Source organism: Homo sapiens, chromosome 2, assembly GCF_000001405.40.
Source record: "Homo sapiens chromosome 2, GRCh38.p14 Primary Assembly".
NCBI classification, from domain to species: Eukaryota; Metazoa; Chordata; class Mammalia; order Primates; family Hominidae; genus Homo; species Homo sapiens.
Window position 1 is genome coordinate 128,610,082 of NC_000002.12, and position 14,670 is coordinate 128,624,751.

The 14,670-nt window shown below is 52.3% G+C and overlaps 1 long non-coding RNA gene across 1 annotated transcript in view, besides 1 other annotated feature; it reads left to right on the plus strand.

Moving 5' to 3' along the window:
- Window positions 1–14,670, plus strand: part of LOC105373611 (uncharacterized) — a 241,632-nt gene that overhangs the window by 207,479 nt on the left and 19,483 nt on the right. Inside the window, exon 2 of the long non-coding RNA XR_923318.2 lies at window positions 11,270–11,528. This is a non-coding gene — a long non-coding RNA (uncharacterized LOC105373611). The remainder of the gene's footprint in view (window positions 1–11,269; window positions 11,529–14,670) is intronic.
- Window positions 14,126–14,395: an enhancer, noted in NCBI's record as "active region_16514". NCBI's record gives its function as "activates an Ori minimal core promoter by ATAC-STARR-seq in GM12878 lymphoblastoid cells {active_cell/tissue: GM12878}" and the evidence as "EXISTENCE:reporter gene assay evidence [ECO:0000049][PMID:35858748]".

Genomic DNA, 14,670 nt, shown 5'->3' on the forward strand with positions numbered 1-14,670 from the left:
ATTTAGTAGAGATGGGGTTTCACTATGTTGGCCAGGCTGGTCTCTAATGCCTGACCTCAGGTGACCCGCCCACCTCAGCCTCCCAAAGTGCTGGGATTACAGGCGTCAGCCACCACTCCCGGCTGCTTCTGGTGCTGTTTAATTGTTATTGTTACATTATCCCTGCTTACTTTTTGTGTTCTGTCTTTGTTACATCCCCCAAGATTTTTCAAGATCTCTGTAGCTTTTCTAGGGACTCTCTAAAAGCCCCCGCATTATCTGAAAGTTCTCTACATCCTCTAAAAACTCTGCCTCTGTCCTCTGTCCCTTTCTGGGGCCTGTCCTTGGACCATAGCTGCCCTCCTAGAACCACCATTACCTGTCTCTGGGATTGGAGCCACCGTTACCTCATCCCATGTCTTGTTTCCTGATTTTCCCCCTCACTTTGCTGGAATCTATTAACAACTGCTTTCTAAGGAAGGGAGGCTTAGGGTTACTGTTTTCATCCTGCGTTTCTAAAAAAGGGTTCGTTGTGCCCTCACATTTTCTTCCAGCTGCCCTGGTGAGGCAATGTAGAGCCACAGAAACACTCCTGCCCAGAACCTCGCGGTGTCCTGTGTCACCTCCCAGGATCCGGGTGGCCGATGTCTGGCCGTGCTGCTTGTATCTTTATGAGGGATGGGTTCTTTGTCCAAAAGAATTATTTTTTCCTTCAACTCCAGCAACTTTTCCTGTGTTGCTTTTTGGATAAATGTTCCTGCTTCCGTTTTGTTCGATCTTTGCTTTTGAAACTTTTATTGGTCAGTTGTTGGAGTTTCTAGATGGTTCCCCTGTAGGGTTTATCATTATTTCACTAATGGTCCCGTCTATATTCTGAGATATTTTCTTGTTTTTAATCTTCCTATCTCTCTATTAAGCTGGTTGTTTTGGCATTGGGCATTAAGTTTGCAAGAGGATTTTCTTATTCTCTGATATTTTGTTTTTTATGACAGCCTGTTTTGGAGGCCTTCCTTCTTTTCTTAAGTCTCCCTAGAATACCAACTGGACATTTCTCTCTCTCTTTTAAGAGTGAGGCCTGGTACGGTGGTTCACGCCTGTAATCCCAGCACTTTGGGAAGGTGAGGCGGGCAGATCACCTGAGGCTGGGAGTTGGAGACCAGCCTGACCAACATGGAGAAACCCCGTCTTTACTAAAAATGCAAAATTAGCTGTGCATGGTGGTGCATGCCTATAATCCCAGCTACTTGGGAGGCTGAGGCAGGAGAATTGCTTGAACCTGGGAGAGGCAGAGGTTGCGGTGAGCGGAGACCGCACCATTGCACTCCAGCCTGGGCAACAAGAGCGAAACTCAGTAAAAAAAAAAAAAAATCTCTTCTGGCCTCTCTTCATGGTGGTGACCCTGGGAACCTGCCCAGATTTGGGGCTGAGATACGCAGACTATCTGGGGGCTCAGGTTTTGGGGATAGGCAGGTCAGAAATCCCTGTAGGTGCTGCTGGCTATTTCAGAATTCTGAGGGCTGTCTTCTGTGGGAGCCAGCCTGCTCCTGGGCCTTCTTAGCCTGTTACTTCCTAGGCTGTTACAGTGCTTGGGAAAACTGTCCGGCTTTGGCCTTGAGGCCATGCCTGGGTCTGGACTCTCCTGTGCACCAGGGTGGGGTGGGAGTGGGGATAAAGAGAATGACCTTTTAGAGCACAAACCTGAGCTCCTCCTCCCAGGTTAAACCTCTGCAGGTCCCCTGTGGGGTGGCTGAGCACAACTCCCTGTGCCTCCCAGCTTCTGCTGCAGTGATGCGGGCTTTCTACATCAAGGCGGGAGTTGCTTCTAGCATTGAAAGAAAAACAAAACAAACAAGCAAAATGCCTCTTTAACCCTCCCTTTACAAGACTTTGCCTGTTGCTGCTCCTTTTACTGCAAAACTCAGAGAAGCAGCTCTCCTGCCACTGTCTGGTCTTCCAGCCTCTACCCAGCCACTCCCTCAGGCAGCTCCACGTCCCCATGGAGCCTCTCTTGCCAAGGCCCCCTCGTGGCAGGGTGGTCACTCTCTGGCCACTCTCCTCTCAGTGCTCTGCTGGCCTTCATGACCCCCCGGGCTGTCTCCTCTCCTGGCCTCTGTGTCCTCCTGGCCTGGGAGTATTGGGGGCTCAGGGCTGTGTCCGGCTCCTCTTCTCTCCCCCATCTCTAGGGTCTCCTTCCAAGCCCATGGTTTTGAGAGGCAAGGACACACTGAAACCACCAGAGTCTGTCTCTAGCCTGGAGCTGTCCCCTGAGCCCCAGAGCTGGCATCTAACTTGGATGTCTCCGGGCATCTCTGACATCACCTGCCCTCATCCGACCCTTCCCTATCCCCGCAGAGCACAGGCCGCCTTACAGCGGCCCAGGAGGGTTCTGGGAGCTGCTCTGGATGGACGTCTCTCTTTCTCTGTGTGTGCATCTGTCTCTGTATCTCTCTCTGTGTCTCCACCTCTGTCTCTGTCTTTTTCTCCCTCATACTTTATATCTGCATCCAACCCATCAGCAAATCCTAGTAGCCTCTTTGTTGGAATTGAGTCCAGAACTCCCTCCCTCCGCCTTCACTTCCACCATCTGATCTAAGCCACTACCACCACTCCCTTGGACTGCAGTGGAACCTAACGAGGCTGCTGCTTCCTCACTGCTCTGTGCAGGGACTTCTAATGCGTCTCTGACACTCTCTGGCACCTCTGCTCACATATCTGCCCACATGCCCCAGGCCTCTGTGAGGCAGGGACCATCTCTTGCTCACTGGCACCCAGCTCCTAGGTTGATGCACCCAGGGCAGGGGCACAGGTAATGCTTACTCCATGAGATGCTGCCGCACCCTTACTTCCAGATGGGCAGAAGAGCTGGCTGCCTCCCCCATGCCACTCTTCCTTGCTGCAAGAACCCCCATCCTGTTCAGGTATCAGGATCAGCAATGTCCTCAGGGAAGCTGGGTCCCCAGGCAGAAGGGGGCTTCATGATTGGTTCACCTCAATCAATAATCCTATTTCTCTCTGTCAGGAACCCCTGTAGTGGTGGGCGTGTCACTCATTTCTGATTGATGAGGCCTGAGGGGAAATTGGCTGGGGGCTTCTGGGAAAACATTCTGTACGTCCACAAAGAAATGGATTCTGCCCTGGAGGGGTACAGAACCAACCCTGGCAACAGCTTGATTTAGGTCCAGTGGGACCAGACCAGTTGACCTTTGTGTGGTTTTAAGCCACCGAAGTGGTGGTGATTCGTTGCAGCAGTGTACAGCAAAGGGTTAATTCTGCAGGGGTGAGTTGCCCAAACCCTGGCCTTTCCGGAAGTCTGCAGGGCTGGCCCTTTCCTGGCTCCTGAGGGGTAACTTCTGAGCCTGGGAATGTCTGCTTGAGAAGAGGGTCTTTGTATATCTTTGCAGATGTGAGGCTGCGGGCCACACAGAATCCCTGCTAACAGTGTGATTTGTGGTGATCTTAGCCTTCCAGGGCTTTCCAGGGCTGCCACAGCGGAGTGCTGCAGGCTGGGGCTTCAGCAGCAGAAACTCACTTTCTTACAGTTCTGGAGGCTGGAGGCCTAAGATAGAGGTGTGGGTAGGGTAGTTTCTCCTGAGGGCTCCCTCCTCGGCCTGGAGATGGCTGCCCTCTTGTTGTGTCCTCACGTGGCCTTCCCTCCGTGTCTGTGTCCTCACCTCTTCGTTTTATAAGGACACAGCATACTGGATTAGGGCCTGCCCACATGGCCCATTTTACCTTCATCACCTCTTTTAAGGCCCTGTCTCCACACAGAGTCCCGTTCTGAGACACTGGGGGTTAGGGCTTCAGCATAGGGATTTGGGAGATGGGTACAATTCAGCCCACAATGATGACGAATGCCTGTTTTTGTTTGCCTGGGATCCTGAGCCATGCTGAAAATTGTTTGGCCTCTGGGGCTTGGGGACAGTAGCTGAGGTCAGTCATAGGGGCTCCCAGTGCCTATGTGACTGACCCCACTGAAGCCCTGGATGGGCACACTTCACACATGCAGTCACACATTGCAGCTGGGGAATCCAGCACTGCCCACGTAATTCCATGGGGGGCGACACCCGCAGACTGGACCTGGCTGGCCTCTCCTGGACCCTGCCCTAAGCACCCTTTTCCTTTGCTGATCTACATCTCTATCCTTTCACTGTAATACACCATAGCTGTGGGTGTTACCAGCTTTTCTGAGTTCTGTGAGTCCTTCTAGAAAGTCATGGACTGAAAGAGTTCATGGGGCCCCCCAATACAGGCAGCAATGATAAATAAATGCATATAGCAAAGAAAGCCAAACCTATGGGACCCGGGCTGCCATGGGAACACTGGTCATGGATTAAAGTGCTATGTTTCCCAGTGCATGTGGGCCTGTGCCTTCCCTGGCATGAGCAGAGGCGGCACTGAAGAAGGTATCTGGTGTCGCGACAGAGATGGTGGTGGTTTCCTGGCTGGTGGGAAGTGCTCTGCCACACTCCTGGGACCAGCTAATTCCTGCTCTGTTTTTCTTTTAAGGAAATATGTTCTTTAAAAAAAAAAACAAGCAACCCCATCAAAAAGTGGGCAAAGGATATGAACAGACACTTCTCAAAAGAAGACATTTATGCAGCCAACAGACACATGAAACAATGTTCATCAACACTGGTCATCAGAGAAATGCAAATCAAAACCACTATGAGATACCATCTCACACCAGTTAGAATGGCAATCATTAAAAAGTCAGGAAACAACAGGTGCTGGAGAGGATGTGGAGAAACAGGAATGCTTTTACACTGTTGGTGGGAGTGCAAATTAGTTCAACCATTGTGGAAGACAGTGTAGTAATTCCTCAAGGATCTAGAACTAGAAATACCATTTGACCCAGCAATCCCATTAGCGAGTATATATCCAAAGGATTAAAAATCATGCTACTATAAAGACACACACACACGTATGTTTATTGCGGCACTATTCACAACAGCAAAGACTTGGAACCAACCCAAACGCCATCAGTGATAGACTGGATTAAGAAAATGTGGCACATACACACCATGGAATACTATGCAGCCATAAAAAAGGATGAGTTCATGTCCTTTGCAGGGACGTGGATGAAGCTGGAAACCATCATCCTCAGCAAACTAACACAAGAATAGAAAACCAAACACCACATGTTCTCACTCATAAGTGGGAGTTGAACAATGAGAACACTTGGACAAAGGGCGGGGAACATCACACACTGGGGTGTGTCAGGGCATGGGGGGCTGGGTGGAGGGATAGCATTAGGAGAAACACCTAATGTAAATGACGAGTTGATGGGTGCAGCAAACCAACATGGCACATGTATACCTACATATCAAACCTGCACGTTGTGCACATATACCCTAGAACTTAAAGTATAATAATAATAATAATAATAATGATAATAAAAGAAAATATGTTCTTTAAAAGCCTTAAAACCAACTCTGTGAGGAGGGCCCAGTGCCCCTGTTCCTGTGGAGCCTCAAAGCTCAGTGGGTGCTGGCATAATTATTGCCCAGGGTTGTCCTGCCTCATCGAGGGACTCTGGAATTGCCATCCTGCTGCCTGCTGCCTCTTAGCAGTTCCTGGAAGCAGTGGCTCCTCTCACTAATTTCTGGGTCAGACTTGGCCAGGGTGAACCACGTGTGAGCGGAGATGCTTCTTTGCGATGAGCTCATGTGCAGCAAAAGATGCCATGTGGGAGATGACCTGGTGCTGCTGCCCTGCTGCCCCTTGGCCTCGTGCCATTCCCAATATCCGGCCCTTCCTGCACCAGGCCTTTTCTACCCCGGCCTTTTCTTTCCTTCCTTGTCCTAATTGGTGTGTGTGGCCCCCTTTGCTCTGCTGCACCCGGGAACTGTGGCTTTGACTCATTCCTGATTGCAGGGGTCTGGGGCTTTCCAGGTATCACGCAAATGGGATATGAAAACAAGTCAAAGTGAACACCTACAAAGCAAAGGGATAACTGCAGAAGAAATGGGATAATGCTGATATGGTTTGGATCTGTGTCCCCACCCATATCTCATGTCAAATGGTAATCCCCAGTGTTGGGGGAGGGACCCGGTGAGAGGTGATTGGATCATGGGGGCAAATTTCCCCCTTACTGTTCTCATGATGGTGAGTGAGTTCTCACGAGATCTGGTTGTTTGAAAGTGAGTGGCACTTCTCCCTTCGCTCTCCTGTTCCACCGTGGTAAGACAATCTGGCTTCCCGTTTGCTTTCCATTATGATTATAAGTTTCCTGAGGCTCCCCAGCTGTATTTCCTGTACAGCCTGCAGAATTGTGAATCAATTAAACCTCTTTTCTTCGCAAATTACCCAATCTCAGGTAGTTCTTTATAGCAGTGTGAGAATGGACTAATACAATCACTTTGCGGATACTGTATGTGGGCAAAGAGACAACAGGCAGGTGCTGGACCTCAAGAAGATTCTGGCCTTGTGAGCTGCAGCCATGTGGGACACATGCATGGAGGGAGTGCACCATGCGAGGGGCTGGCTTGCTTCATCCCACTAATCACAAAGGCGGCAAGGGGGACAGTGCAGAGGGCCTCAGTGCTGAGTGAAGGCAGAGCCTACACCGATGGCTCTGAGGTAGATTTTGGCTAGGGTTCATTATCAGCCAGACAAGATCACCAATAGCAGCCTCCCTGCTAAGAGCTGCAGATACAAGGCCGGATGTGGTGGCTCACGCCTGTAATCCCAGCACTTTGGGAGGCCGAGGAAGGTGGATCACGAGGTCAGGAGATCAAGACCATCCTGGCTAACATGGTGAAACTCCGTCTCTACTAAAAATACAAAAAAAAAATTAGCTGGGCGTGGTGGTGGGCGCCTGTAGTCCCACCTACTCGGGAGGCTGAGGCAGGATAATGGCGTGAACCTGGGAGGCGAAGCTTGCAGTGAGCTGAGATCACGCCACTGCACTCGAGCCTGGGCGACAGAGCAAGACTCCGTCTCAAAAAAAAAAAAAAAAAAAAAAAAAGGAGTTGCAGATACTGGGGAAATGGATGGAAACCATTTGCATTCCCTCTGCACAGGGTGTGTGCTGAGCCCTGCCACGTCCCACACCTGAGCTGTTCTGTGCTTCCTGCTCAGGGAGAGCACTCACCCTAGCATTAAGGGAAGGCTGGGGGACTGAGTGTCACTCTGTGAGCACAGGGGAGTGGCCAAGCCCTGGCCACCCCTCCCTGCCTTGCCCAGCATGCACCGTCTACATGCTGCTCCCAGTGTGGCCACACTGGACTGACTCCCTGAAAGACGCTGGGCTGGGTGGTGCTCTGAGACTGGGGTGGGGAGACAAGCCTGTCAAATGTCAGGCATGTGAGAAGTGACGGCCCAAATTCAGAGAGGAAAGGCGGGGACAGTTTCAGATGGGGGCAGGAGCTGGTGAATGTCCCTTTCTATTGGAGCCTCCTTGCCTTGTTTTGCCAACTTGTATATTGTGGGGATTGGGTGGTGGGAGTGTGCTCATGGCTTCTTGGAGAGCCCTCGTTGCCAGGGTGGGAGCCCTCCAGCTGGGGGGAGTAACATTCTGGGAGTGTCCAGGGACTGTGCTGGGGCCCTTGCTTGAGTGGCCCAATTCAATTCCCGGAGGATCACTTGAGGGAGGTCCACAGGCTTATTTGAACAACCAGAGAGCTCAGACAGTTGCTGTGCTGCAGATGGTAGGAAGTGGAGTTGGGGTTCCAACCAGGACTCCAGAGCCTTCATTTGCACTGGTAATGCTGCCCGTGGAAACAGCTTTCCCCAGAAGTCAATGACACCCAGTGCCCACGAAGGGCGGGATCTGCGAGCACATTCCTGCAGGTCTGAGCGCTGCCTGCTCCTGACAGACCTACCCTGATGCTAGGGCCTGTGGCCAGGTTCTCCCTCCACAGTTAATGGGCATGGGGTCATGTGCAGTCTGTGTGGAGCTGAAGCTCCTGTCTGTGTGCCTGCTTTGGTTTGTATGTTTGTCCCCTCCAAACCTCGTGTTGACATTTGATCCCAATATTGGAGTTGGGACCTGATGGGAGGTGTTTGGTTCATGGAGGTGGATCCCTCATCAATAGATGAATGTCCTCTCTCAGGGTTGGGGGCAAGTGAGTTCTTGCTCTATTGCCTTCCACTGAGAGCTGGTTGTTGAAAAGAATCTGGCACCTCCCATCTCTCTTGCTTCCTGTCTCACCATGTGATAACTGCACACACCTGTTCCCCTTCACCTTCTGCCAGGAGTGGAAGCAGCCCGAGGCCCTCCCCAAATGCAGATGCTCAATCCCAAACTTGCCAACCATCAGAATCGTGAGCCAAATAAATATTTGTTCTTTATAAATTACTCTGGCTCAAGTATTCCTTTATAGCAACACAAAATGGACTTAGTGCCCCACCAAGTGCAACCCCCAATACCACAGCCCCCAACCCTCAGAATGTTCCAGACCCACAGGAAGACAGCTGTACACTTAAACCCCAGCAGCCTGGCTGAGCCCCCCAACTTCTTGGGTCCACTGCTCCCTGGGAGGCTGTGTCCCAGCATCCTTAATTTTGCTGTCTACCTGTGCTGGGACCTCTGTCTTTGCTGGATCCCAGCCTGATATCTGCTGCCCAAGGCCTCATTGTCCTGTACCATGGTCCTCCCTGGAGCCCATTCCTAGGCCTGGCTCTTGAGGGCAGTGAATCTGCTGGGTGTGGCCAGACTTCTCCCTTCAACTTCTCCCCCAGATTCTAACTTTGTGGAGGGAGCTGCAGGACCCACCTTACCTGACAGTACCCCGGGTGCACAGGGCAGTCAGCAGGGCCAATGTGTGGCCACATGCATGTGCACACACACGGACACATGCACACACACAAATGCCCACATGATACACATACATATAACACAACACACACACATACACACAAGAACACACATATATGCACACACATATGTGCACACACACAAGTGCACATGTGTGTACACAAGCACACACACATACAGATAATATACATATGCACACACCAATTTTGTTTTTCTCTTAGGGGAAATATTCATCATTCAGCATTCTCTCTCTCTTTCTTTTCTTTTTTTTTTTTTTTTTTTGAGATGGAGTCTCTGTCACCCAGCCTGGAGTGCAGTGGCATGATCTCAGCTCCCTGCAACCTTTGCCTCCTGGGTCCAAGCAATTCTCCTGCCTCAGCCTCCCGAGTAGCTAGGATTACAGGCACCTGCCACCACACCCGGCTAATTTTTGTATTTTTAGTAGAGACGGGGTTTCACCATGTTGACCAGGCTAGTCTGGAACTCCTGACCTCAGGTGATCCGCCTGCCTCAGCCTCCCAAAGTGCTGGGATTACAGGCATGAGCCACCACACTTGGCCTTTGTTTCAACCCCTCCAAATAAGACTAAATTTCAGACCCCTCGCCTCCCTGCTCTGGACACACCCCATCTTGTCACCATCAGCCTCGCAGGCTCTGTGGGCTCTGGGCTGTGTGGGAAGGCTGTGGCAGGGAGCGTGGGAGCATGTCCCGGCCAGGAGGGGTCAAGGTCGGAGGGAGTGGAAACTATAGCTGCTCCTAGGAACATGGGCTGGTGCTGTCCTCGGACGGAGGGATGGCCTGTGCCACTCTGTTCTCAGGGCCCCTCAGCTCTGCTGAGGAAACCCCTTCCAGCCGTGGTGGTCTGCCTGGAGGCGGCTGCGCTGACCAGAGGTCCTGGCAGATCCCGTCCTGGGCGCGGTGCTTTCCTCCTTCCCTGACTTCTGGTTCTCCGTAAGGGAATGGAGAAAGACCACTGAGCCTGGCAGGCCTGCGTGGCGCCACCATAGAAACACCTTCTCTACCCTCAGCAAGGAGGCAGGACCACCCCTCCAGTGGGGGAACTGAGGCCTGGGGCGGGCAGGATGACACAGCCAGGATTTGAGTGGGGGTTGCTGCCCCTGACTGTCCCAGGGCTATTCCCATCTCCACACACCCTGCTGTTCTCTCTGGGTCCTGGAAGTGGGGGTGGGACCTGCTGCAGGGCTGAGTGCTTTCCCAGGGAGAGAGCTGCTTGCCTGGGGGAGCCGAGACTTGCCCCCTCCCCCTCAGTGCACTTGTTTAGATACTGAGCAGCCCCTCCTTGTGGGGCAGGGGCCACAATGCCATGTCCACCTGGGCCTGACAGACTTCTCCCCCACCTCTGAGCTGCAGGGCACCGGCCTCGGGGGCTCTGGGCTCAGGTCCCCTTCCTTCCCCTGTCCTGGAGGGCACAGACATGGCCCTGAATGTTTGTGTCTGCCCAAAATTAATGTGATGAAACCTAATCCCAGCTGGGCCCAGTGGTTCACGCCTGTAATCCCAGCACTTTAGGAGGCCAAGGCAGGTGGATCACTTGAGGTCAGAAGTTCGAGACCAGCCTGGCCAACATGGTGAAACCACATCTCTACTAAAAATACAAAAATCAGCTGGGTGTGGTGGTGGGCGCCTGTAATCCCAGCTACTTGGGGGTCTGAGGCAGGAATGAACCTGGGAGGGGGAGTTTGCAGTGAGTCGAAATTGTGCCACTGCACTCCAGCCTGGGCAACAGAGCAAGACTGCATCTCAAAAATAAATAAATAAAAAAGAAACCTAATCCCACTGTGAGGGCATTAGGAGGCAGGGCCTTTGGGAAGTGATTGTGTCATGAGGGTGGTGCCTTTGGAATGAGATCAGTGCCCTTACAAAAGAGGTCCCAGAGAGACCCCTTCACCCCTTCTGCCATGTGAGGAAATGGCAAGATGACTGTCTGTGAACCAGGAAGTGGCCCTCACAGACTGGAATCCGCCAGTACCTGGGTCTCGAACTTCCAGCCTCTACAACCGTGAGAAAGGAATCTCTGTAGTTCACTGGCCTCCCCATCTGTGGCTTTCTGTTCTGGCAGCTTACATGGACTGGGACATGGCTGGCCTGCCCTACACATCCCAATCTTGGATTTGGGACCTGATGAGAGGAATTTTGATCATGGAGGTGGATCCATCTCCTCTCCCTGCCTCTCATCCTCTCTTCCTCAGAATGGCCCCTTTGGTCCACTCCTCTACCATCCCTGGGCACCTGGCCATGTGGCTGCAAGCAGGAGTCCCCAGAGTTCTGGCCCCTGGACACCTCTGGTCATCCCTCCCTGTTCTTTCTTAGCTGCAGTCCTTGCCTCTGAACCTGGGTCCATTATCTGCACTGCCCCCTCACTGAGAAGCTCATGACCCCTAACAGCAATTCCTTACCCAGTATTAGGCCCTGGCCCTGTCCATGGTCTTTGAGTTTGTATGATCTACCTGTAGTCTGGACTGGATCCTGCATTCTTCTAGTTTCCTCCAATATCTGCCTATTACTCTCCAGATGACCATTTCCAATTTTCCTCATCCTTCTGGCTTGGAATTGCCATGGTTTTCCTGAAGCCCAGCAAGCTGAAGCCAGACTACTTGATAGAAGCTTCAGAGAAGCCACCTCAACAGCTCATGCATGGAAAACCTTTGTGACCTCCAAGCTGCAAACCAGGAAGAGCTGTCACTTGCCGCTGCCTGCTCCAGCTGAAGGGTCTTCAGGCCTAGCATCTAGAAATCTTCTTGACCGGCTGACTGCCTTCTGGACTCAGAAAGTGAGTTTATGCTTGTTCCAAAAATTACTCTTTGTTTTTCTTTTATTTTCGTAGAAACTAAACTCCACTCATTACTACCAAGTCCCAGCAGATGATTCATTTGTACTTAATAAACAAAAGGTGGCCCAACAAGAAAATGGACTTACGTTATGCAAAGGAAAGAAGAATGTCTTCTTTTCCCCTCAAATGACAGAGGGGACTGAGAAAGATTCTCTGCTTGGTCAAATGTGAGTCTGGTCGAGCTCCTGAACTTCCTTCTAGGCCCATCTGTGCATGTCCTTGGTAAATTCCAGTTTCAGCAAGAACCTTGCTAGGTCAGGTTAGCAAGAAGACTTTACCCTCAATAACTCATCACCCTCCATATCTGATAGGGTTCCTTATCCTTCACCGTCCCCCAGGGGAGGTCTGACCATCCTGGCCTGTCTTCACCAGAAATCCTGTGGGGTTGGTTTAGCCTGAAGTCCCCTTACCCCTCATAGGTCCTCTTTGTTATTTTCCATTGACTGGCCCCTACCCTACGCCTCGGTTATAAACTCCCTCTTGTCCACGCTGTGTTTGGAGTTGAGCCCAGCCTCTTTCCCCAGCTGCAAGCTCCCATTGCCATGGTGCCTGTACCTATCGCAGTGGTCATGAGTGAAGTCTTCCTCGCCATCCCTAACATGCATCACTGAATAATTTCTTGTTTATTGCCTCCATCAGTTGTGCCCTGGATTGTGTGGGCCAGGACCTCACACAGGACACTGTGGGGAGGGCCTGTCTCTGCTCTGTGGTGTCTGGGTCTCACTGGGAAGAGGTGAAGTCTAGGGCCGAAGCCATCAGAAGGCTGGTTGCTTGTGGGCCTGGTGGTTGATGCAAGCTGTCAGCCGGGAGCTCCTTAACCTCCGCTGGTGACCTCTGTGTGTGACTTCTCCATGTGGTTGGCCTGGGTTCCTCACAGCATAGTGCTGATTTCAAGAGAGCCAGGCAGAAGTGGCGTTGTCCTCGTGACCTGGCCTGGAAGTCACACAATGCCACTTCCCTGCAGTCACAGACCTTCCCGGATTCAAGGTTAAGGAACACACCCTGCCTTCCTGTCGGAGGAGGGCCAAGTCACACTGGGAGAAGGGACCTGGGATGGGAGAGATTGTGGTGCCATTAACAAAAATATGATCAGCCACAGTGCCCATGCATGAACCCATTCATTCAACAACGATACCATCCAAGGTCCTGGTGGACACCAGACTCCTGCTAGCCACTGGGGACACAGACTCTGGGCCAGTAGTCTACTGGGCTGAGCATAAACAGGGTGGTGCAAGCCCTGGTGTGGGCAGGCTTCTTCTCCTCCCTTCCCCCACTCTCAAACCCCACCCATTCTAAAAAGCTTTGGTTGGAAGGCTATAGAATTCCTGAAATGAGACGTAGCCAGAGGTTTTAGCATCCACCCTCTCCATTGGTTTGCCAGTCATTAGACCAGGGGACCTCCAAGGATAGGGCCGGGCGTCAACTTGTGCAGACTCACTGGCCTCTCCCACAGAGCAGGCGTGAGAAACCATGGAGGATGGGTGCCCTCTCTCTCTCTCTCCCTCTCCCTCCCTCTCTCATTCTCTCTCTCTCTGTCTCCCTCTCTCTCTCACTCATGCATTCTTTCTACACGCGTCCATCAGGCTCAGGCACTTACTTGCTCTGTGCCAGCTGCAGCGTAGGCCATGGAAGTAAAGAGTGAATGAGAACAGGTCCTGCCCTGACTGCAGCCTAGGGGTTGTGAGCCAGGTCCTCAGCTCGCTGAAGCCACCGTTCCCTTATGCCCTGCCCAGCTCTGTGCTGATCTGTCACCGAGCTCAGTGTGTCTTTGGGGGAGCAGAGTGGGCCAGGGGTCGGGGGAGGCACCTGGAAGTTGGGGGGCCCCTGTCCCTGGGGCTGGAGAGCCAGAACGAGCCTCTGCATCCCACCCCTTGGCTGTGGGCAGCCTCCTTGATCCCATCTGGCTGAGACACAATCACAGGGATGAGATAAGGCAGCGCCACTGCCCACCAGGCTTCCCGGCCACATGTGTACCTGGAACCCCTTTAGGAGTTCAGTGAAGCCTTTGTACCCTTCTCAGAATAATGGCTTTCGATGCATCCAATAAAGCCATTAGTAGTATGGAAGAAGCCAATTATAGAGAAATGCAGTCATCAAAACGTTTACAAGGCACATTTGGGTGTGAGTAGTGTATGGGTCTCTCCCTTAGCAGGGGCCATGGTGATGGGTCTGAGGGGGACTTTGCATCGTCTGGAGACCCATGATGGGAGTCAGCCTGCCTGTGATTTCGTCGGTCCTGCTGGTCCTAACGTGGCTTCTGCTCATCTCCATCATGGCAGGAACTGTTGAGGCCCTGCAGCCGCCCAGGCCCTTGGGTAGGGGATCCTCATTCTGCAAGCCCCTCACTTCACCCAAGCCTGGGCAGGAGAGGAGGCCTGAGCTGCTTCCTAGAGGCTGATTTTCCTTCTGCTCTGAGCAGACACTCCTCAGATTACAGTGACATTTGGGGTTTGGGTTTCAGCCACATTTTCAAATTTTTCTCTTCATTTGCACAGAAACCTGAGCAGCCTCTGTGGTCTGATTGCATCATTCATCACTGTGGGTTCTGCGCCTGCATGCTCAGATGGGAAATCTCTGCTTTGTTTCTTTTTCTCTTTGGCTTTTTTGCTCTTTACCTCTGACTGAAGGTTAGACAAGTCCTTGCTCTGTGTCTATGCGGGCTCTCCCAAGGCACCAGCTCCCCTCCTTCCCACCCCATCCCGGGCACATCCAGCCCCTCCCTGTCCCTTTTCCCTGTTTCCAATCTCCTCAGTGCAGCCAGCAGTGGCTTAGTCAATTTGTATCCCCACTGTGGCCTGAGGTGGGGGGGGGTGCACACGCCCACACACACACACACACACACACACACATACAGCACACCCACACCACACGCACACATACAGCACACCCACACCACACGCACACATACAGCACACCCACACCACACGCATGCACATATACCATCCACACATCCACATGCAGTCGGAACAGTCTCTGCATTAAGCCTCCCGGGGCAGTGGGTGGACGTTCACAGTCTCAGCTGCATCCCCGCATAACCGAAAGAGCTGCCTAGGGGTTTTGCCCTGTACAGAGGGGCAGCTCC